Consider the following 25,416-nt stretch of genomic DNA (forward strand, 5'->3'; position numbering starts at 1 on the left):
TCTCGGCCTCCCAAAGTGCTGAGATTACAGGCGTGAGCCACCGCGCCCGGCCTTAAGTGACATTTTTAAGAGTTTAAGATTTTTCCCTCAGCCCATCAGGTAAGCTCTAGTCAGCTTCTTTAGCTGGCTTCTTAGTAGAAGTAATAGCAATAATAATATAGATGATGGTGGTCATGATGGCAATTATAACCATAATATATTTTGTAAAATGGTGTGCAGTTTAGAACAGGATTACTAGCATCATTTCCTGATTACAGAACAGGTTGGAGACAGAGGCAGACTTAATTGCTTATTTTATAGAGCTTGAGCCACTGTTTTGGTGTGTTTAAGCATTTACTATATACCAAAACATGATATCCTTTAAACTACCAGTGGGATTTTGACAGGGTAACTTAGATGCCTTTTATCATATTACCAAGTTGCTGAGATTGTAACCCAGGGCATTTGGTCTAATTTGGGAGCATGTTTCCATTCATCTCTGCAGCTCAGATGGAGAAGGGCTGGGGTTTAGGGCTTCTGACCTCAAACCTTGTTTTTTTTCTGTCATGCTTGCAGGGTATTTTAAATACCCTGTCCTGTTGTTCCCTCAACCCAAACTACCTGTTAAAATTTTGGTTTTGAAAATGAGGTCCCTATAGCTAGATCATGCTGCCTGTGTGTGAAGAAAGACTAACATGTTAGGAATGCGTGGCATTCAAGTAGGTGTCTAATAATTCTTCTGGAGAAAAGCAAATTTAGTCAAAAAGCAAATGAAAATATTTTATAAGCAATGTTTCAAAATGATTCAAGGAAATTGGTATTTACCTCTTATCCCCATCGTGTCATCAGTTCCATTGTCATGTTCTTTGAATACCGTGAGCATGTGTCTATTTTTTAATAAATAATTGTAATCATACTACATATATATAGGAAGGTCCCCCCATACAGCGTTGTATTATATGCATTTCGCCAAGTGTTGAATGAATGATCCTTCATAATTACAATTTTTAATGCCTTTACAGTTCACATTGACATGCTGTTCCACCGTTTAATTAACCATTCTCTTGTGGTATAAATTGCTTTTTCCCTTGAGCTGTTTTCTTAAGGACAGATTTCCAGGAGTGAGGTCACACAGTCAAACATTATGAACATTTTTCTAGCAGAGAAATTATTTTTTAACCTCACTAATTGAATGTTGGTACCTTGAAATACATTTATTTCTGTGCTTTTTGTACCTAGTACATTAGTAATTGGATACTGGAACTAATGGAAGCGAACAAGCATGTAGATAATCTAGAAAGCATTATAGTCTTAACTGGAAATACATAATTATTTTCTCTCAAAATTCACCATCCCATTTTGTTATGCTTTGGCAGAGCAATCTAGAACTATGGCAGAGTGATGGTTGAGGAAATGTGGGGAAATTTATATTAAAACCTTAGCCGTGGTAAATTGAAAGTTAACTTTTGAAGCAAAGCTTAACTGTAGAAGAAAAATAGTGATTATTTCTCATGTTTGTTGCTGAATTCTAGGTTTTATTCTTCTACCTTCTTTGCATATATCTGTCTCTAAAAAGGTAGCTAATTAATGTGTTATGGTAATTTACAGTATGCAAAAGGACTGCCAGTGCAGATGTGATCTGATCAATATTGTGATTATTATCATTATTATCACTGGGTTTTCTTGTTTGTTTTTTTGTTTGTTTTGTTTTTTGAGACGGAGTCTTCCTCTGTCACCCAGGCTGGAGTGCAGTGGCACAATATCAGCTCATTGCAACCTCTGCCTCCCAGGTTCAAGTGATTCTTGTGCCTCAGCCTCCTGAGTAGCTGGGACTACAGGGACGGGGTTTCACTGTGTTGTTCAGGCTGGTCTTAACTCCTGACCTCATGATCCGCTCGCCTCAGCCTCCCAAAGTGCTGGGATTACAGGGGTGAGCCACCGCGCCCAGCCTATTATCATTGTTATCTCGGTTATAGACATAGGAAAACTGAGGTTCCTGTTGATATTATTGCCAAAACAATGCTCTTGATCTCATTCTATCTTTCTCTGAGGTTTTAAGCAGAACCTGGTTGTATGTGAGCCATTTATATTCTATAGCAGATTTTTGCATTGGCTGTGAGTTCAAAATAGATAAAAATTTTAAGATTGCTTCAAAGTCAAGAGATTCTATATAATCAAAAATACTTCTTGGTTAAAGCATAAAGGGCCAAGGTGACGTGTTTGGAAAGTATAGATAGAAGGCTCTGAATTAGGGAAAAGTCCTGTAATTCCACAGAGGTATGTATTTTGACCCTTAATTTCTCTTTTCCTTGAAGGTTCATAATTAAAGCACAGAAATTCAGAATTGTCATAGTTTGGAAGCTATGAACTTGAGTGATAGCTTTCTCAAAATATATTGGAGAGTTTCATAGAATTGTCTCTACCTAACTCTGAACTTCACTATTTATTTTATTTTATCTTATTTAATTTTATTTTTGAGTTAGGGTCTTACTCTGTCACCCAGGCTGGAGTGCAATAGTGTGATCACGGCTCACTGCAGCCACAACCACCCAGGCTCCAGTGATTCTGCAACCTAAACTTCCCGAGTAGCTGGGACTACAGGCACCCCCCACCATGCCTGGCGAATTCGATGGCATCTTTTTTAGAGACGAGGTCTCCCTATGTTGTCCAGGCTGTTCTCAAACTCCTGAGCTCAGGCAATCCTCCTGCCTTGGCCTCCCAAAGTGCTGGGATTACAGGCGTGAGCCACGGCACCCAGGTTTGTTTTTTATTTTTTTGTTTTGTTTTGTTTTGTTTTGTTTTGAGATGGAGTCCTGCTCTGTCGCCAGGCTGGAGTGCAGTGGCACGATCTCGGCTCACTGCAACCTGTGCCTCCTGGGTTCAAGTGATTCTCCTGCCTCAGCCTCCCGAGTAGCTGGGACTACAGGCGCCTGCCACAACGCCCGGCTAATTTTTCATGTTTTTGGTAGAGACAGGCTTTCACCGTGTTAGCCAGGATGGTCTTGATCTTCTGACCTCGTGATCCGCCCCCCTTGGCCTCCCAAAGGGCTGGGATTACAGGCGTGAGCCACCGCGTCTGGCCAATTTTTGTACTTTTAGTAGAGACAGGGTTTCACCATGTTGGCCAGGATGGTCTCAATCTCCTGACCTCATGATCCGCCTGCCTCAGCCTCCCAAAGTGCTGGGATTACAGGCATGAGCCACTGCGTCCAGCCCCGTACCCAGTTTTAATTATATTTTCTTAACTGGACCTATGTGGAAAAGAGGTTGTATGCTTCCAAGACAAAAATTGAATTATTTCACATGTATTTCCTTTTAACTTGTTATGTCTGGGCTGTTTTGGCATTTAAAGCCATTAATCTCAACTCATGATTTCTGTCCCAAGGAAAATGAGAGTCAGATGTTCACATCTGGACCATTTGTTTCATTCAAGTAGTTGAAATTGCATTAGAAAATTTTGATAGTGATAAAGTCAAGAATTTAGAATGAATCATTGAATCCTCCCATTGAAAGGGAAGATCAAAACCTCCAACTTTATGTAGAACTATAGACTGAGAGAACTATTACTTTTTGTTGATTTTTCTTAAATAACATTACTGAGGTATGATTGACATGTTAAAAAGCTGTACATATTTAACATATACACCTCCATGCATTTGGGAATAAGTACACCCCTGTGAAGCCATCAACACAAAAGTTTCCTCTTGACCCCTTTATTATTATTTTTTGTGTATGGTATGTAGCTATTTTAAAGTATTGTTAGTCTTTGTTTTAACTTTGTTGAAGTGTTAATTAAAATGATGAACTTGCAGAAGAAAAAGTGAACATTTTAAACTATTTTTTATAAATAGAATAGAAACAGGTGCAAATGAAGAAATATATATATATAAATATATATAGATCAACAAATGAATAATGAACAAATATATATGTTAATGTAGCATATATTAATATAATATATATGTTAACCACAAAAGTACCATGGCCATTCAGCTCGTGATATGTATTTCTTTCTTTTACCTTTATTTTTGGCCTGTTTGAAAGATTTATGCTACATTATATTTTCCTTTATTCCTTAGATTACTTTAAAGAACAACACTATAATTAAGAGCAGTACACCCTAACCAAGTAAGGTTGATCACACAATGGCAAGGATAGTTCAACATTAAGAAGCTGAAAAGGGCTGGGCATGGTGGCTCACGCCTGTAATCCCAGCACTTTGGGAAGCTGAGCCAGGTGTATCACTTGAGGTCAAGAGTTCGAGACCAGCTTGACCAACATGATGAAACCCCGTCTCTAGTAAAAATGCAAAAATTAGCCAGGCATGGTGGCAAGTGCCTGTAATGCCAGTTACTCTCTGAGGCAGGAGAATCACTTGAATCCAGGAGGCAGAGGTTGCAGTGAGCCATGATCGCGCCACTGCACTCCAGCCTGGAGGACAGAGTGAGACTTCCCCTCAAAAATAAAAATAAAAATAAAAACAAGAAGCTGAAAGGAGGAAAAAAAACCCATTTCCATAAATACATCCCTTCCCCTAAAAAAATGCATTTGATTAAGCTGAAGACCTATTTCTAATAAAAACAAGTAAAAAGCAAGTTTGTGGTAAGTAGAAACTTCAAGGTTATACATGCAAAATGTGGCTTAAACTAGAGCTGCAACATAAAAGTGGTGAAGAACAGCAGAGGACAGTTGGAGCTGTGGGAGATGCACAAATGAATGCCTCTGGCATGGAGCTTCAGGGTTGAAAATCAAACACTAGAAGTCCAGCCAGGCACAGAGAGCAGCCAGTTGCAGAGGGGACATCTCCCTTTGTCTTTATCTGTTGTGGAGATGTTTGGTAGTCCCTTACCCCCAATGCATTGTAATAAAGCACTCCATTTGTATATGCATCTTAATAGTCCTCAATGATTTAGGCCCACAAAATGATCAGTTAAGAGAGTTACCTTTATTTTGTTTACTTTCAAAAAAATAAGAATAAACCCAAACTCAATTCTTAATTTCTCAGCCTGAACAGTGTGAGGTCATAGTTGTCCAGATTTCTCTGGAAACGAGTAAAGATGAATTCGTTTCTTTGTCATGGGTCTGTACTATAGGTTGTTCTCTTTTTATTTCATTTGATTGTAAACAGCAACTCTGGCAGCTGGGCAATATTGAATGATTGCTGTAAACAAGGAAACAGACTTTGAGGAGGAAATATCCCCACTATCAGAGAGCTAACAGAGCCTCAATTTCAATCCTGATCTGTCTGAATCCAGCCACTGCCTCATACCCACACCAGAGCTGTTCAATTGAAATATAATGTAAGCAACAAATAGAGGCCACATATGTAATTTTAAATATTCTTGTAACCTTATTTTTTAAAAAAGAAACAGGTGACATTCCTTTTGATAATATGTTTAATATACTAAGAAATTTCAATATATAATCATTATAAAATTATTAATGAGCTTGTTTACATTCCTTTCCTTAGTACTGTTTGAACCTTGGGGTCTGGCATGGTGGCTCACGCCTGTAATCTCAGTGCTTTGTGAGGCCAAGGTGGCAGGATCACTTGAGGCCAGGAGTTTGAGACCAGCTAGTGAGACCCTGTCTCTAAAAAAAAAAATAGAAAAATTAGCTGGACATGTTGGCATGCACCTATAGTTCCAGCTACTTGGGAGGCTGAGGTGGGAGGATCTCTTGAACCCAGGAGGTTCAGGCTGCAGTGAGCCTAGGTTATGTGACTGCTCTTCCAGCTTGGACGATGCTGTCTCATCTTTTTTTACAAAAAAAAAAAAAAAATCTGCAATCCTTTTTTCCTGTGCACAAACAGCTTCCAGAAAATAGTTAAAAGAAACCATCAAACCCTAAGGTAATTTTTTTTAAGTACCTGTTGGCCCAAACAGAGGGCTTAATTAGCGGCAACTCTTAGAAACCAGATTGCGTTAAACACATCTAGCTTTGTTTTTTTTTCTTGGCCCCCACAAAGGCTATGCGCATGCCCCAGGAATATACTTCTTCTTTGATTGGGCACAATAAGATTGTTTTCTTCAAATATTTGAGAGTGGTAGGACCCCAGAAGAACTCTTACCAACTGATGGTGAGTGCCAAGATCTTCTCATTTATCTGGCAGTGGCATATTCCATCTCTGCAGCAAGGTAAAGCCCTGGGTGCTAGAAGTTCCTTCACAGAACCTAGGTGTCAGCCAGTCATGGATATTGTCCTGTGGCTTCCCATAAAGAAAGCTAAATCTTTGCTTCGTGCTACTCCTGAGCATGCAGTTTTGATTTTTGTGGTTCTCCATCTCAAAACAAAAGCTGATGGGCTGACTGGGCCTTTCTTTGCGCTGGGGGAATATTAAAAACTCGGTTTTTCAAATATTAAGGTACATGGAGCCAGGTGGAACCCAGGCTCTTTTAAAGATTGATGAGGGCAGGTGCAGTGGCTCTCGCTTGTAATCCGAGCACTTTGGGAGGCCGAGGCAGGCAGATCACTTGAGACCAGAAGTTTGAGACCAGCCTGGCCAACATGGTGAAACCCCATCTCTACTAAAAAGAAAATAAAAATTTGCCGGGTGTGGTGGCAGGCATCTGTTAATTCCAGCTACTTGGGAGGCTGAGGCAGGAGAATCACTTGAACCCGGGAGGCAGAAGTTGCAGTGAGCCGAGATCACACCATTGCACTCCAGCCTGGGCAACAAGAGTGAAACTCCCTCTCAAAAAAAAAAGTACTGATGAATAGCTGGGCATGGTGGCTCACACCTATAATTCCAGTGCTTTGGGAGCCCAAGACAGGTGGATCACTTGAGGCCGGAAGTTCGAGACCAGCCTGGCCAACATGGTGAAAACCCATTTCTACTTAAAATAGAAAAAAGTAGTAGTCCCTGCTGTAGTCCCAGCTACTGGGGAGGCTGAGACACAAGAATTGCTTGAACCCGGGAGGCCGAGGTTGAAGTGAGCCGAGATCCCACTACTGCACTCCAGCCTGAGCAACAGAGTAAATCTCAAAAAAAAAAAAAAAAAAGAAAAAAATGATGAATAAATATGTACAAAAAGAAAAGAAAAATATTTGTCACATCCAAGTTAACTGAGGATGGCAATGTAATTAAAAAGAATGGTTTGAACTCACAATTGGCTTTGTGGTTACCTTACTACTTGAAAGACGGGACTGGGCACATATACCATTTCATTGGACAAACTTATTTTTACTTAATAGAATATAATTAAAATGCAAAAGTTAATAGCACATTAAAGTTTAATAGTTTTCTTTGAGACAGAGACATTCTCTGCTCTCTTTTGCTCCTCAGACTGGTCTTCGTAGTCTTCAGGTTGCTAAAATCTGATACTTTCCCAAGTCCATTCTCATGAACAATTCTACATCCCAATTGTGGCGGGGTGGGAGGGGGGGGCCTCCTGTAAGTCATGGTCATTCTGTGTTCATGCTGTCTCCATTTCCAAAAACGCTCCAGAATCTCTAGATATATTTAAATCTTCCCCAACACACTTGGTCCAACATGTTGCTTCTGTTTTCATTGTCTGTCACCATGCCTAGGGCACAGCAAACAAGAGTAGTGGATTGATAACAAGTGTTAGTTGATGAACATGAAAAAAACGACATAGGCCGGGCCCAGTGGCTCATGCCTGTTATCTCAGCACTTTGGGAGGCTGAGGTGGGCGGATCACGTGATATCAGGAGTTTGAGACCAGCCTGACCAACATGGGGAAACCCCATCTCTACTGAAAATACAAAAATTAGCCAGGCATCGTGGCACGCGTCTGTAATCCCAGCTACTGTGGAGGCTGAGGCAGGAGAATTGCTGGAACCTGGGAGGCGGAGGTTGCAGTGAGCCAAGATCATGTCACTGCACTCCAGCCTGGGTGACAAGAACAAAACTCTGTCTCAAAAAAAATTTTATATATATATATATATAATTATGTAAAAATTATATATATAATTATGTAAAAATTATATATAATTATGTAAATATATATATAAAATTATGCTATGTAGTTCTGTTAATGCATGATATTATAAAAGCACAGTTGTAAAAAGGTTACATTTACTCTAATTCTAGGCCACAGACTATTCAGTTAGTCCTAAAAATTCATGCAACATCGCCAGGCATTGTAGCACATCCCTGTAGTCCCAGTTACTTGGGAGGCTGAGGATCACTTGAGCCCAAGAGTTTGAGGTCAGCCTTGGTAACAAAGCCAGACCTAGTGTCTTCGAGAAAAAAAATACAAAATTCATGCAACATTACTTGACACTAGGGAGACTAAGTAAGTATGAAGATGGAGTTATATGAATGGGTCACTGCCACTTAAAAAAACCCCTCAAAAATACATGAACTATTAATGAGTTGTAGTGCATATAAGGAAGACAGAATAATGTCTTATATATCATGACTCCATTAACCTCTATAAAGAAGCTGAATATCTACATCTTAAAATTGTAGACTAATGGAGACATTATTTTGTTTATATTAACTCTCTACCTAGGCTTTTCCATTGTAAAGAAGCTATATTTATCTAGATCCATCCTCCCCCATACACACAGAGCTGTTTTTCTTTCACATTGAAAAATTATGACCAGGCACCCTGGCTCATGCCTGTAATCCTAATAGTTGTGGGAGGCCAAGGCAGGCAGATCACTTGAGGCCAGGAGTTGGAGACCAGCCTGGCCAACAAGGTGAAACCCCATCACTACTAAAAATGCAAAAATTAGCTGAGCTTGGTGGCATGTGCCTGTAATCCCAGCTACTCAGGAGGCTGAGGCAGGAGAATTGCTTGAACCCAGGAGGCAAAGGTTGCAGTGAGCCGAGATTGTGCCACTGCACCCCAACCTGGGCGACAGTGAGATTCCGTCTCAAAAACAAAAAACAAAAAAAACCTATTACATAATAAACTGATTTGCAAATCTCTTGACTGGATTTTTTTTTTTTTTTTTTTTTTGAGACAGAGTCTCACTGTGTTTCCCAGGCTGTGCAGTGACATGGTCTCAGCTCACTGCAACCTTCGCCTCCTGGGTTCAAGTGATTCTCCAGTGTCAGCCTCCCGAGTAGCTGGGATTACAGGCACCTGCCACCACGCCTGGCTAATTTTTGTATTTTCACTAGAGACGGGGTTTTGCCATGTTGGCCAGGCTGGTCTCGAGCTCCTGACATCAGGTGATCTGCCTGCCTCCGCCTCCCAAAGTGCTGGTATTACAGGCATGAGCCAACACGCCCAACCTTCTGACTGGTTTTTAATACAAGATAGCTAGATTTTTATATCTGCTTCTGCATTAATCATGTAATCTCTGTAAAAAGCTACCATTCACTCATGAAAGAGTAAAAAGGATAAATGACCTCTTCTTGCTACGATTATGAAAATTGTTTTGACCTTTCCCCTTCTGTCCACACATATCCCAAAGGGTCTCCAGGGCCCCCAACGGTCCCAGGACCATATTTTGAGAACTGCTGAGTAGATCATGGCATTCAAGCCAAGGTAAGTTTATGTTTTATTGTAAGAGCAATAGGAAGCCATTAGAAGAGTTCAGGTCTGTGGGAAGATCTGTTTTAGGTTTTAAATCAGCACTTTGGATACTACGTGATGAATGGACTGAAGGGGTTAAAAGCAGAAGCAGAAAGAATAGTTAGGAGGCAGATGAAGCAGTCCAGGTGAGAGATGACAGTGGCTAAATTCTAGCAATAGAGATGGGAGACATGACATACTGTGACATATTTAAGAGCTGGACTGTCAGAATTTACTGCTATATTTCTTTCTTTTCTTTTTTTTTGAGACGGAGTCTCACTCTGTTGCCCAGGCTGGAGTGCAGTGGCGCAACCTCGGCTCACTGCAACCTCTGCCTCCTGGGTTGGAGCAATTCTCTTGCCTCAGCCTCCCGAGTAGCTGGGACTACAGGCGTCTGCCACCACACCTGTCTAATTTTTATGTTTTTAGTAGAGACAGGGTTTCACTGTGTTAGCCGGAATGGTCTCGATCTCTTGACCTCGTGATCCTCCTGCCTCGGCCTCCCAAAGTGCTGGGATTACAGGTGTGAGCCACCGAGCCCGGCCTACTGCTAGATTTCCTCTAGAAGGTTCTGTGTTCCGCAGACATTTAGCACAGATGTATCAAATGCTGGAACCCAAGAGACCTGGCTTTTTGAATCGTAGGAAAGCCATTAACTAGCTGTGTGAGAAATTGATAGCGTTTTTCCCTGTCTCCCGAAAAAAAAGTGAGGTTTATTTTTGGCCAAGAAGACTAAAGTTAGCTGATTCTCCATCAGTCTCAGATTCTCTGAGTTCTCTGACTTTGGCTGCGTATGTGTGGCCCAGGCAGTAATGTGACACACCTTTAAGTGGTTGGGATTCAGTCGATTTTGATTGTGGTAGGGGTGGCTTCCATACAAAGGCAAGATGCTAATCAAATTTAATTTAAGTCTTTTCTGTTCATGTGAGAAATACTAAGCTGGTGGAGACCTGAAACAGATGGTGTGCAGTTGGAGTAGATAACTATATTATTCTAAATAAATATTTGCTGGAGCTGGGAAGCAACAATCCATATTTCATTTTTTCCCTATTTACATTTTCAGGTCAGCTGTGTTGCTACTGTTTTTAACTTGCATTAAGGTTATCAACAGACTTGGCAATTACAATATATCTTTAAATGTTGAAATAATTAGCATTGGAAGAGACCCTCAGCACGTAGTGCTGTAATGATTCTTAATGCATTTCTGGTGGATAGCTGTCTAATAATATCTTACACTTGAAAAAATTTTTTTTTTGAGTCGGAGTCTCACTTTGTTGCCCAGGCTGGAGTGCAGTGGCCCAATCCCGGCTCACTGCAACCTCTGCCTCCTGGGTTCATGTGATTCTCCAGTCTCAGCCTCCTGAGTAGCTGGGACTACAGGCGCACACCACCATGCCCAGCTGATTTTTCTATTTTTAGTAGAGACGGGGTTTCACCACGTTGGCCAGGATGGTCTCGATCTCTTGACCTTGTGATCCGCCCACCTCGGCCTCCCAAAGTGCTGGGATTACAGGCATGAGCCACTGTGCCTAGCTTAAAAATCTTATACGGTACTTGTTTTTTAATTTTCATTTTTTTTTTAATTTATTTTTTTTGAGAGCGGGCCTTGCTCTGTCACCCAGGCTGAAGTGCAGTGGCACAATCTCGGCTCACTACAACCTCTGCCTCCCAGGCTCAGGCAATCCTCCCAAGGAGCTGGGACTATAGGTGTACGCCACCACTCCCAGCTAAATTTTTGTATGTTTTGTAGAGATCAGGTTTTGCCATGTTGGCCAGGCTGGTCTTGTACTTCTGAGCTGACTCGATCCACCTGCCTCAGCCTCCCAAAGTGCTGGGATTACAGACGTGAACCACCATGCCTGGCCTACAGCACTTTTTAATCTGTTACTTTATTTGCCTTTTAACACCTCCCTTCCTCTGTTTTACAAATGAAGAAACCAAGGCTCTGGCATGACTTGTCCAGGGTTCCACAGTAGCTGATAAATTGGCAGAAAAATCAGGATTCACAGTCACAGTTTCATGCCCAGTTTTCTTTCTTCCACAATAGCCTACCTTTGACTATTCAAGAATATAAATCTCTAGCTGGTCTGGAATTTGGCTGTTTTGCCAAACTGACCTTTTCATCTCATCTTTTGCTGCATACAGCTTTTTATATTTACTGTATATTCTGTTTCAGCTAAGAGATGGTCTTAAATTGAGGGAGTAATGAAAATTTTATATTAACTCTTTCCTGGCTTAAGGTGCTGTAGCCACTGTATCTGTCTCAGTTAAGTTCTGGGGCGAGATCTGTGTGCAGTCTCTTAAATGTTAATATATTCTTTGTTACACATAATATACTTGTTCTCACCTTCATTGTACCTGTATTCTTAATGATACTTTGATGAAAGCAGGTTTTCAAATAAGTAGGTTTAAAAAGGCATTTTATTAATCACTGGTCTAATCATTATAATAACCTAAACAGCTAGCATGTATTCCTATGCTCTTTGTATATTTATTCTTGAAATTCACAGTGCTTACAGCCCGGTAGATTATACTCTTTACTTGGCTTCTGGTTTTTCCCCTTATTTCCTTGGCTTTTCTTTTTCAGTCTCTTTTTTTAGTTTCTTGTCTTTCATGATCTCTAAGAGTGGAAATACCTGCAGATCTGTACCCACTTCCAGTAAGATACCTGTTCTCAGGCTTTCCGTAGAATCTATATGCCATTATTTGAAAATATTTCATCACAACTTCAGACTTTCCCACCCCAGGCCTCAGCTCCACACTTTTATATCCAGCTGCTTATCCAGCATTTCTGTTAGAATATCTACTGAGCATTTTAAAGGTAATCCTGATCTTCAGTTGCTCTTTCCCCATTTTCCTTTACCAGTTCCTCCTTCTTAGTAAATGGTAACTTCATCCTTCCAGTTGCTTAGGCTAAAAACCTCAAAATTGTTTCTTGACCTCTGTTTTTTTTTTTTTTTTTTCTTTCTTTTTTTCAGTCTCATCTGTCAACCAGGCTAGAGTACAGTGGCACAATCACAGCTCACTGCAGCCTGAAACTCCAGGGCTGAAGGAATCCTCCTGTCTGAGCCTCCAAAGCAGCTGGAATTATAGGCAAGCACTCTCACACCTGGCTAATTTTTTTTTGGTTTTAATTTTGTGGAGCCGGGGTCTTGCCATCTTGTCCAGGCTGGTCTCAAACTCTGGACTCAAGCCATCCTCCCACCCTCAGCCTCACAAAGTGCTGGGATTAGAGATATGAGCCACTGTACCCGGCCTTTTGACCTCTATTTTGTATTTATTTTTTATTTATTTACTGCTGTCACCTCAGTAGTAGAAGACTTAGTAGTTACTCGAATAATTTTGAATAAATAGATGAGAAAATTCTAAGATTCAATTTAGGAAAAGTTACTCAAATTCCTTATTTAACTGCATTCCACTACCTGGGGGTTATGTTAAGACAGGGGTCTCCAATCCTCAGGCTGCATACCGGTATGGATCTGTGACCTGTTAGGAACCGTGTGGCACAGCAAGTGGTGAGCCAGTGCATTACCGCCTGACCTCTGCCTCCTGCCAGATCAGCCATGGCATTAGATTCTCATTAGGAGGGCAATCCCTGTTGTTAACTGGACATGTGAGGGATCTAGGTTGTGCACTCCTTATGAGAATCTAATGCCTGATGATCTGAGGTGGAACAGTTTCATCCTGAAACCACTCCCTACCCCACCCCCAGTTAGTGGAGTGCAATGGCACGATCTCAGCTCACTGCAACCTCCTTTTGTAGTTCTTCGGTAGGTACATGGCCTCCCAAGTAGCTGGGACCACAGGTGCATGCCACTGTGCCCAGCTAATTCTTTTATTTTTTGAAAAGACAGGGTCTCATATCGGGGAATCTGCCCCAATATTCACGTAGGTTCTTTTCTATTTTCCTTTAGCATCGGCCAGCTTGAGAAATAAAGGGACAGAGTACAAAAGAGAGAAATTTTAAAGCTGGGCGTCCAGGGGAGACATCATATGTCGGTAGGTTCCATGATGCCCCACAAGCCGCAAAAACCAGCAAGTTTTTATTAGGGAGTTTCAAAAGGGGAGGGAGTGTGCGAATACGTGTGGGTCACAGACATCAAGTACTTTACAAGGTAATAGAATATCACAAGGCAAGTGGAGGCAGGGCAAGATCACAGGACCACAGGACCAGGCAAAATTAAAATTGCTGATGAAGTTAGCACCATTGTCATTGATAACATCTTATCAGAAGACAGGGTTTTGAGATAAACCGGTCTGACCAAAATTTATTAGGCGGGAATTTCCTCTTCCTAATAAGCCTGGGAGCACTATGGGAGACTGGGGTCTATTTCACCCCTGCAGTCTCGACCATAAGAGACAGGCGCACCTAGGGGGGCCGTTTATAAGCCTATACATCCAGGCGCGTATTCTCTTTCCCAGGGATGTTCCATGCTGAGAAAAAGAATTCAGTGATATTTCTCCCATTTGCTTTTGAAAGGAGAGAAATATGGCTCTGTTCTGCCTGGCTCATCAGCGGTCAGAGTTTAAGGTTATCTCTCTTATTCCCTGAACAATTGCTGTTATCCTGTTCTTTTTTCAAGGTGCCCACATTTCGTATTGCTCAAACACACCTGCTGTACAATTTGTGCAGTTAATGCAATTATTACAGAGTCCTGAGGCGATATACATCCTCCTCAGCTGACAGGATTAAGAGATTAAAGTAAAGACAGGCATAGGAAATCACAAGAGTATTGATTGGGGAAGTGATAAGTGTCCATAAAATCTTTACAATTTATGTTTAGAGATTGCAGTAAAGACAGGCATAAGAAATAAAAGTATTAATTTGGGGAACTAATAAATGTCCATGAAATCTTCACAATCCACCTTCTTCTGCCATGGCTTCAGCCGGTCCCTCCGTTTGGGGTCCCTGACTTCCCGCAGCAGTCTCACTTCATTGCCCAGGCTGGTTTTCCAGCTTTTTAATCAGTTATAGCAGAAGTCAGTAAACTGTGGCCCACTGTCGGCCAGGCATGGTGGCTTACGCCTGTAATCCCAGCACTTTGGGAGGCCGAGGCAGGTGGATTGCCTGAGCTCAGGAGTTCGAGACCAGCCTGGGCAGCAGGGTGAAACTCCATCTCTACTAAAATACAAAAAAATTAGCTGGGCTCAGTGGCATGTGCCTGTAGTCCCAGCTACTTGGGAAGCTGAGGCAGGAGAATTGCTTGAACCCAGGAGGCGGAGGTTGCAGTGAACAGAGATGGCGCCACTGCAATACAGCCTGGGCGACAGTGAGACTCTGTCTCAAGAGAAAAAAAAAACCTGTGGCCCACTGTCCATTTTTGTGAATAAAGATTGATTACAACACAGCCAAGCCCATTTATTTGTATATTGTCTATAGTGTGCTACAATAGAGCAAAAAAATATTTACTGTCTTGCCTTTGGCAGGAAAAGTTTCCTGATTCCTGAGCTATAATAATGATAAATTAATTTTCCAGTATATGTATAAACATGGAATGTAAAAAATTTATTTTTTCTATCAGTGTTGGTACATGTTAAAGTATTGATTTTGTTTTAATTGTGCTCCATCTTCTATCTTCAAAGGTCCTTGTAAAATACTTTCTGGTAATTTCCCTTTTTTTTTTTTTTGAGACGGAGCCTTACTCTGTTGCCCAGGCTGTAGTGCAATGAATGGCATGATCTTGGCTCACCGCAACCTCCACCTCCCAGGTTCAAGTGATTCTTCTGCCAGCCATAGCCTCCTGAGTAGCTGGGTTTACAGGTGCCCACCACCATGCCTGGCTAATTTTTTGTATTTTTAGTAGAAACGGGGTTTCACCATGTTGGCCAGGCTGGTCTTGAACTCCTGACCTCAGGTGATCCACCCACCTCAACCTCCCAAAGTGCTGGGATTACAGGCGTGAGCCACTGTGCCCAGCCTCTGGTAATTTCTTTGAGTCCTTATGTCTCCATTTTTGTTGAATGATAAATTGTTTGTCATTATAAACAGTTGTTTCTGGCCATCTCGGCATATGAAGCCTGCGTGTTATTAGGAAGTTGGATGTGTTGTCAGATTTGTGGCAGAGTTACAAAGATGGTAAATGCTCATCCTTAAGCATGTACTATGTCCATAATCAGTTTAGCCAACTTTATAAGGCTATAAATGTAACAGTAATTTTGATGTTTCTTCCTCCATCTTTAGCAAGTTAGAATTATCACTTTTGGAAAGTTTTTTTTTTTTTTTTTTTTTTTTTTTTTGTGATGGAGTCTTGCTGTTTTCCAGGCTGGAGTGCAGTGGCACCATCTCAACTAACTGCAACCTCCACCTCCTGGGTTCAAGCAGTTCTTCTGCCTCAGCCTCCTGAGCAGCTGGGATTACAGACGCCTGCCACCATGCCCAGCTAATTTTTGTTTAGTAGAGATGGGGTTTCACCATGTTGGCCAGGCTCGTCTTGAACTCCTGACCTCAGGTGATCTGCCTGCATTGGCCTCCCAACGTGCTGGGATTACAGGTATGAGCCACTGCACCCGGCCTGGAAATTCTTACCATATGACAATTACACATTCAGAACATTTACCTATGCTTGGCAGTGATTGAAGAGAGGCTATGGTCCAGGAAATCTTTTCCCTGATTTTTCCTTCAGCTGTGATACCACCTCTTGGGGGCACTATTCAAACTATATCCCATGTGCTACCTGGAGAGCCCATGTAGCCTTTCCAGCAAACACCTTAACATTGTGTTAAGACTTGCCTGGCCGTCGTACATGGTAATGTTTCTATTTCTTTATTTTCCCAGTACTGTATGTCTGTCTTTCCCATAAGTGAGGTCCCTCCCTACCTTCATCTCTGAACTTCCCTAAGGCCTGGCAAATCCAGGACAGTCAAGTAGATTGGGATCTGGATCCTCAAAATCCAGGACCAAATTATTGGAAATAATCCAATTGTTCATTGACAAGGGATTGTTTAAATGAACTATGGTACCTCCTCAAAGTGTATTATCATATTGTTTTTTAAAATTGTGGAATTAAGAATTCCAGGACATATTGTGATATTATAAAACACAATAATAGAACCAAAAAAAAAAAGGAACATTATAATTTGTATGTGGTGTAGATTAGTTGTCTATTCCTGCATAACAAACCATGTCAGAACTTCATGGCCTAAAATGATAAGCCTCCCCGCTCCCTTCTGTTAGTCTAATCCGCCCACCTCAGTCTCCCAAAGTCTTGGGATTACAGGCAGGAGCCACCCACGCCCAGCCTGAGAGTCTGATTTTTGTTTTTTTTGTGGGTTTTTTATTGTTGTTGTTGTTTTTTGTTTGTTTGTTTTTAGACAGAGTCTCGCTCTGTCGCCCAGACTGGAGTGCAGTGGTGCGGTCTTGGCTTATTGCAGCCTCTGCCTCTCGTGTTCAAGCGGTTCTCCTGCCTCAGCCTCCTGAGTAGCTGGGATTACAGGTGTGTGCCACCACGCCCAACTCATTTTTGTATTTTTAGTAGAGACAGGGTTTCACCCTGTTGGCCAGGCTGATCTTGAACTCCTGGCCTCAGGTGATCCGCCCGCCTCAGCTTCCCAAAGCGCTGGGATTACAGGCATGAGCCACCGTGCTCAGCCTGGAGTCTGATTTTTTTATAAAGCAATGGATTTAATGGCTTCCTTGGCCAGCTTCTTTGGAATGATCAGTGTTCCTGTCATTATAGGAAAGATCTCTATATGGATCTTTATAGATAGATCTAATATAGAAAGATCTATATTCTGCATATTTTCTCAGTCATGATAAACAGGAACACTTGACCAGATCTTCTACCCCACACAGCATAGATAACATCTCAAACTCGGTAAACTGTTATTCTAATAGATTTTTTTTTTTTTGAGACAGGGTCTCACCCTGTCACTCAGGCTGGAGCACAGTGGTGTGATCACAGCTCACTGCAGCCTCGACCTCCTGGACTCAGGTGATCCTCCCACCCCAGCCTAATGAGTAGCCGGGACCACAGGCATGCGCCACCACATCCAGCTAATTTTTTTTGTTGTTTTTGGAGAGATGAGGTCTCCCTGTGTTGCCCAGCCTGTTCTCAAACTCTGGGCTTATCCTCGTGTCTAGCAATTCTCCCGTCTCAAGGTGGTTTGGATTACAGGCATGTGCCATCATGCCCAACCATAATTCTAATATATTTTAAAATATGATTCAAGTAAACCATGTGAGAGTATCTGCTGTATACCCACCATTGTTATGTCCATTATGGTACCCTTCATATAACCCTGTGTTGAAATATCCCCAGGGACAGATAAAGAAAACCACTGTCACACAACTAGGGAGTGATGGAGCATTCTTCACATCAGGCTCACCTTTTGCCTCAACATGCTTTCTCCTTGAGACCTAAATTTTTCTTCTTTCCAATTGCTTGGGAGTAGCCTTTCCCTTTAGATAACCTCATTATTTTCTTATCTCGTATTTACACCTCTGCTCTCTGCCAGTCTCTGATTAAAAAAAAAAAAAAAACTCAAAAGCAATTTATAATGATTTGTAAATGCCCTTGATTGTGGGCAGTTTATCATGGAAGATTCTTCTCAAGTAGCACATTTCTGGGATGTCAGTCAGTAATACAGTGGTTCCCCCTTACCCACGTGGAATATGTTCCAAGACCTCCGGTGGATGCCTGAAACCATGGGAAGTATTGAACCCTACATACATTCCTTTTGGACTGTAACTGAGCCTATGAGATGCAACAGCAAAATGAGCACAAACGTCTTTTTCCTTCTTACAGTAGATGTCAGCAACCTCAGCATAGGAATTTTTTCTTTCCTTACGAAGTCAAGAACTTCTGCCTTTTCACTTAGTACTTTACAGCTTCACTTTGGTGTGTCCGAATTGCCAGCATCACTCCTCTTTTACTTTGGGGCCATTATTAACTAATAATCAGGGTTACTTGACCACAAGCACTGCAAAACCATGACAGTTCATCTGATGGTAACCGAGATGGCTACTAAGTGACTTATGGTCGGGTAGTGTATACTCTGGACAAAGGGATGATTCACATCCCAGGTGGGATGGTGTGAGATTTCATCACACTATTCAGTACGGTGCTCAATTTAAAACTTATGAATTGTTTATTTCTGAAATTTTCCATTTGATATTTTTGGACTTTGGGTGACTGTAGGTAACTGAAACCGTGGAAACTGAAACTGCAGATAAGAGGAAGACTGCTGGGTGTTCAGTGTTACTTTCCTGTGGAGCTACAGGATAGTTCTACTCTTTAGTTTCATCTTTGATTCTTTAAATTCCTATGTAGGAAAAAATATCACTGCTATCACACAGAGAACTGTTTATTACTTTATTCTTTCATCTGTTTTCTGTTTTCAGGATATCCTTAGCAAATTGCACACAGTGAAGAAATTATTCAGACATACTTTTCCATTTTGACTCATCAAGTTCTTTGGCTTCCCATGGTTTAGGTGTTGAACCATAAGTCATTTTGGAAATGCATGCTGTCATATCTGGGTTTTATTTTTTAATATATACATACATATATATGCACACATGCATTTATTTTTAATACACGTATACAAATATATTCAGAATAATCAAAACACAAACTCATAGGGTGACTAAATTGTCAGTTACTTTGAATTTGAAATTGAGTTGGACCCTTATGACAAAACCAAGGGTTATTTTGACTTCCTGGGACTAAATCTTTATGGCTGTTTGATATGCTAAGCAATGGTGTTTATGGACTTAAGCCACAATTGAGGGAAAAGAATTTCTTCTTCAACTCTATTTAAGGTTCTCCAAGATAGAAGAGAGTTCAATATATGGTTGATTCTTTAATGGGATCCAGCTAGAATATAGCACATAACTATCATTTTCATAAAAATTCAAAAAGGAAGTCACCATAACTAGGATGACATAAAGGCATGTCATAGCCTTCTTCCTACAGGGACTTACTATAATCCTGTGACCCCAGGCAGAGGGTTAAAATGCCTACTTTGGAACATACCCTTTCCCATCATCTGAGCAACTGCTGAATTTGTCACCTTGTAAACCACTTGGATAGATCTCACTCCATGAAGGGCATTCATGCCACCCAGCTTCCATCAAAAATGCCACTTTACATTGTGCTTGGTGATTTTGCAGCTATTAATTCTTGGATCATTCCATACATTATCTCTGAGTTTCCATGGATAAATTGTTGATAGTATACCTATTTTCCACAGAAAACAGATGTTAATATTAACTTGGTCAAGGTCACATACCTAGTTAATAGTATGTCCAGAATTTGACACCAGGATTTCTATCTTCTAATCATCATTCCTGTTAATTAAGCACCTTCTGTATACCTTGCAGTGATTTAGGCATCATCTTTAATCATTACATGTTTCCTGACAGGTAGGTCTTACTGTCACTCATTTTACATATGTTGAAAATGAGGCCTAGAAAGGTGAAATGAATTGGTGAAATTCACTTGCATTGTAACAGAATGAGAATTCACACGGAATCTCTCAGTCTTCATACCTGTGCTTTTTCTGCTTCATTCACTTGAAACATGAAGAAACACTAGTGTTGTAGGTTTTGGGTGGTGAAATGAAAAGTATCAATCTGTAAACAGTTCTCTAGTGGCTGGGTTTGGCCCACTATCAAAGCTTTTGGTTGGTAAGAGCACAGAGTTCAGCGTTCTGCATTTGGGCTGCTCTAACTTTTTTATTCTGCCAAGTGCTGACTGTTAAAACTCATCTCACTGCTAAGCCTTCCTCAAGTCTTTGGCACCCTTGCTATAGAGCCAGGTGGTCTGAAGAAAAGCTCCCTCTAGGTTGTTGCACACTGTACACAACACATTACAGTGCGAGACAACTGTCAGTTCCTTCCTTTCCTTCTCCCCTACCCTTCCAGAAAGCTGGGCCCCAGATGGAAGAGCTGGAAATGTGTCAACTGTTCTCTGAAGGGCATTGAGAAAATACTGTCAGGAAGAAAAGGCAAGCGCAACAGCTCATTAGTCCACTAATCAGACAGGACGACCATCAATTTCACAAAGAAAATGTCCTGAACAGAGAAATGGGAAGGGCTGGCAGAGTGTTGCCCACATGGTTCTGAGAACTGCACATTTTTGTCAGGGGATTTGTAACTTGGGGGCATTGCTTTCTTGATTGACTTTATTATATCCCTTTCCCAAGTGTGGCCACTGCAAACTGAAGCATAAAAATGGTATTTGGAGATACTTTTCTACAAATACCATTGTGTCCCATCAATGCACAAAAATGTTCCTTGTTGCCAGGATCGTGAACACTCTTGTATGTATTGTCTTTATAGCTGTGCTCTCACAGAAGGAAAACTTGGACTTTACCTTCTTATTTGAGCCTTTGCTCCCCATTTTTTACACTTTAATTTGAATTCAGCAGTTATTGGAGAATGAATGGCTGGTACTTAAGTGAAAAGCTTAGAATTACTGTGAGGAACATAGCTCAATTTAAAGGTGATTATGGTAACCCTGGTCGTATTATTAACTAAGTATGTAACAAGTTCTCTTTGATAGGGAAAAATAACTTGTTAGATATATTAGAATATTACTCATTGGTATCAAGTCTGATTCCTGTTAGCTCAGACCTACCTAATTGCAGCATCATGAAGTTTATCTAATTTATCTTTCTGGAATTTTGTTGCCATTTAGTATTATCAAACAACTGCCTATTATTAATTGTTCCCATAGATGAAGTAGCCTCTGCTTCATGTAGACTCAGCTCTACTTTTCATCTTTTTGAACAATGTATAGCATGAATGACATTTACATGTTTGAGGTCAGAGAGGTTGACTCCCTCTTTTTTCCTACTTGATGTAGTTGATATGTATATATATAATTTAGTACATCATTATTAATGGTGATTTTTTTTTTTTTAAGACAGAGTCGCTCTGTCACCCAGGCTAGAGTGCAGTGGCATGATCTTGGCTCACTGCAACCTCCGCCTCCCAGGTTCAAGCGATTCTCTTGCCTCAGCCTCCTGAGTAACTGGGACTACAGGTGCCCACCACCACACCCAGCTAATTTTTATATTTTTAGTAGAGACAGGGTTTCACCATGTTGGCCAGGCTGATCTCAAACTCCTGACCTTAGGTGATCCACCCGCCTCAGCCTCCCAAAGTGCTAGGTTTACAGGCATGAGCCACCGTGCCCAGCCTATTAATATTGATTTATATATAACTGATTGATTTTCTTTTCATGTCTTGCAGTTGAGGCCTAAGTCTAGATAGTTCCCATGTTAGCTTTTTCACCCCTAATAATTTGATTCATTTATAAGGAGAAGTTAAAGAAAATGCATTTGAGGTAAGCTATATTTGTAACCTGGTTTCTTCCTTTCTCAGCCACTATCTAAAGACTGCTAACTTTCAGTTCACATCACCTCTTGACCTTGTTTCCTCATTTTAGTTCCTAGGGTTGAAGTAACAAAGTACCACTAACTGAGTGGCTTAAGACAATAGAAATTCATTCTCTCACAGTTCAGAAAGCCAGAGGCCCAAAATTGAGGTATCAGCAAGGTTGATTCCTTCCCGGGGTTTCAGAGGACAAATGTGTCCCCTTCTCCCTCCTGGCTTGCTGGTTGCTGGCACTCCTTGGCATTCCTCGGTGTATAGATGTGTCACTCTAGTCCCTGCCTCTGTCGCCACTTGGTGTGACTGTCCTCTCTTTGGCTTCCCTCTGTGTATGTCTCTGTGTCTGTGTCTCATCCCTTCTTTAAGGACACCATTCAGATTGGATTTAGAGCCCACCCAGACAATCTAGGATGATCTCATCCTCTCAAGATTTTTAACTTAATGATATCTTCAAAGACCCTTTTGCCAAATCAGGTAACATTCACAGTTCCAGATGTTGGGATGTGGACATATCTTTTAGGGGGTCACTATTCAGCCTATTATACCAAGCAGTCCTCTAGGGAAGTATGTTGGTATTTCAAATTGTTGTCTGTTTTTGCAAACTTTTAGAAAACCCTAACCTCCATTTCTCTGATTCTCTGCAGTTGGTCCTGAGAAAAGGGTGCCAGCGATGCCTGGATCGCCTGTGGAAGTGAAGATACAGTCCAGATCCTCACCTCCCACCATGCCACCCCTCCCACCAATAAATCCTGGAGGACCGAGGCCAGTGTCCTTCACTCCTACTGCATGTGAGACCTCTTAGTTACTTATGTTTGTAGTTCAGAGTGACATTTGGATCTAAGTGACTGACTTGTATGAAGCGTTCCACATATATTATTCAGTGTTTTCAAAGTACTATTGAAAATATAGACACAGATATATATTTCTGGTTGTTTCTTTTATAAATTACTTTTACCCTCTGAGAATAATACTTAGCTTATTTGGATATTTAGTTGTTTAAATATTTTGTTTTCATATTCTTTGGCTGGTAACTATTTTTATTTCTTTGACTCTAACAATAATGAATTTAAATTATTATATTGCCTTATGGGATTCCAAGTAAGTTTTCTAAAATTATAGAATTCTAAAAATGTTCCAGTGCTGTCATGGTAAGACTTTTTACAAAAGAGAATATTGTTGTATTTGTTTACTAGGGCTGCCATAATGAAATACCACAGACTGGATGGTTTAAACAATTTATTTTTATTCACTTTTTCACAGTTCTGGAGGCAAGAATGTAAAGATCAAGGTATTGGCAGGTTTGGTTTTACCTGGGCCTTGTAGATGGTTGCCTTCTTGCCATATCCTCACATGGTCTTTCCTCCATTTTGCGTCCCTGGTGTCTCTTCCCCTGCCTTTAAGGATAATAATCATATTGGATTAGGGACTACTCATAATACCTCTTTTAACCTTAATGAACTCTTCAAAGTATCTCCAAATATAGTCCTATTCTGAGGTACAAGGGGTAAGACTTCAATGTATGAATTTGGCCAAGGCTCGGGCAGAATTCAGTCCATAACCATTATGTTAGCTAATAATATATGTAACAATATATTCAACTTCACTAACCATCAAGGAAATGCAAACTAACACCCAATACAGTACCATTATACACCCACCAGGATGTTCAAAATGATACCAAGTTTTGGTGAGGATGTATGGAGCAACTTGAACACTCATACAATGCTGGTTGGAGTGTAATTTAGTACATCTTTTGGAAATTGGCAGTTTGCACTAATGCTGAATTTCCACGTGCCCTGTAACTCAACAATTTCAGTCCTATATATCTATAATCACCAAAAGAACCCCAAATAAACTAGTATACATACATGCACACAAGTGTCTTGATCTTCATTTGAGTTCTACCTTTCCATGCACATGCTGCCGTCCCCAGTTCACTTTGACACTCTGCAGATCTTTTGCCTGTAAACCAAAATGTACTGCTATTTTTGGAATGCCCAAAAAGTGTCAGAGCACTGAGCTAGATGCTGTATGTATTGTTTCATTTAAATGCCATTACACAAGCTTGCACACTGTCCTTGCTCAAAATTTTTTGTTTTTTGTGTTTATTATTTTAAAAGGCAAGAGAAGAGAATGTAAGATGTACAGCTTTAATTGGAAGTTTATTATTTTCCAAAACATTTGAAATGGAGTAGCTGGTAACTGTAGCATTCAGTTTGAGCCAGAGTGAATGAAAAGAAGTGTGATATCCCTTTTCTTAAATTCTAATTTCTATCTCAAAGTTGAACAGCCCTAGACATATATACTATCTTGAAAAGAAACAGATTTAAACCTCAGCCATCAATCAGATTTCAAGATACACCAATAGGTATATGTATATACAAATTCAGCCCTTTTTACTTCCATATTTGGCTGCTTGGCGGTGGTTGTGTTTCATTTCAGAAAATGTGATCATACATTTTTTTCTAAAGAGACTACGAAAAAGCCTTTCTATACATCAGAGAAGCTAAAAGCATGGTAATGTGTTATTTTTATTGGTTCCTTCAAAATGGAGCAACTTTCCAATGGCAATTGACCTTTCTGTGAAAACAAAGAAATGGCAGACTATTGCAACTAATTTTCTGGATTGCTGAGGTTGAGTGTTCAACTTTCCTTTCATTAGCTTTACTAATTTTCTTTAGTGGAAGACACAAGAAAACTCACCCCTTTTCTCAGCCCGTTAGTCTGTTATGCAGTGAATCATTCAGCAGCATTTTCCTAAACACCCTTTGCTGAACAAAGCAAAAATATACACTGTATACACAACTTATAAAACTTAATTAAAGTATGCACATATGTATTGTGTATTGTATTATTAATAAGTGAACATCTATTAAGGCAACACAAATATAGAAATAAACAAGCATAGGCCAGGCGCAGTGGCTCACACCTATAATCCTAACACTTTGGGAGGCCGAGGAGGACAGATCACTTGAGGTCAGGAGTTCGAGACCAGCCTGGCCAACATGGTGAAACCCTGTCTCTACTAAAAATACAAAAAATTAGCTGGATGTGGTGGTGCGTGCCTGTAATCCCAGCTACTCGGGAGGCTGAGGAAGGAGAATTCCTTGAACTCAGGAGACGGAGGTTGCAGTAAGCTGAGATTAAACCACTGCACTCCAGCCTGGGAAACAGAGCAAGACTCGGTCTCTAAAAAAAAAAGTGAAATAGTGGAAGCATGCACATAGGCAGCACAGAGATGTAGTGAATCCACTAAGGTTACCTTCAAGCGGAGCAACAGCAGTATGTGTCAAAGAATGCTCCTTAACAGAGATGATACCTGAACCGTATGGGATGAAGAAGAGCTTGCCAGGTCAAATTTGAGTAAGGTTCAGTGTAAGAAGAGGGAACAGAGATGGTTAACTGACTGTGACTGGCTTAGAGGAAGTAGAAGGGAAGTGGAAGATTTTTTATGATTAATAAGTTGGTTTTTGGCAAAATATGACTAAATGTCTTTTTTCTAAGCTAGGTAAAGATTAAATGATTGGCTCTTTAAACATTGCTTATGTCTTAAATTGTTTCTTATGTTTTTAGATAAAGTTTCACTTTTTTAGTTTTTTAAGGCTGGAT

General features: G+C 40.7%; 1 protein-coding gene across 3 annotated transcripts in view, besides 2 other annotated features; it reads left to right on the forward strand.

Annotated features, from left to right (window-relative positions):
* CBFA2T2 (CBFA2/RUNX1 partner transcriptional co-repressor 2) overlaps positions 1-25,416 on the forward strand; it is a 159,935-nt gene that overhangs the window by 94,409 nt on the left and 40,110 nt on the right. For all 3 annotated transcript variants that reach the window (NM_001032999.3, NM_005093.4, NM_001039709.2), the window contains one exon: positions 22,452-22,595. In NM_001032999.3, coding sequence (NP_001028171.1) covers positions 22,452-22,595 — 144 coding nt within the window. The remainder of the gene's footprint in view (positions 1-22,451; positions 22,596-25,416) is intronic.
* Positions 2,923-3,422: an enhancer, noted in NCBI's record as "H3K4me1 hESC enhancer chr20:32175233-32175732 (GRCh37/hg19 assembly coordinates)". NCBI's record gives its function as "activates a minimal SCP1, AML or CMV promoter by ChIP-STARR-seq in primed H9 embryonic stem cells {active_cell/tissue: H9 hESC(primed)}" and the evidence as "EXISTENCE:reporter gene assay evidence [ECO:0000049][PMID:30033119]".
* Positions 22,105-22,154: a silencer, noted in NCBI's record as "silent region_12815". NCBI's record gives its function as "represses an Ori minimal core promoter by ATAC-STARR-seq in GM12878 lymphoblastoid cells {active_cell/tissue: GM12878}" and the evidence as "EXISTENCE:reporter gene assay evidence [ECO:0000049][PMID:35858748]".

The sequence above is a fragment of the Homo sapiens genome, chromosome 20 (assembly GCF_000001405.40).
Source record: "Homo sapiens chromosome 20, GRCh38.p14 Primary Assembly".
Lineage (NCBI taxonomy): Eukaryota > Metazoa > Chordata > Mammalia > Primates > Hominidae > Homo > Homo sapiens.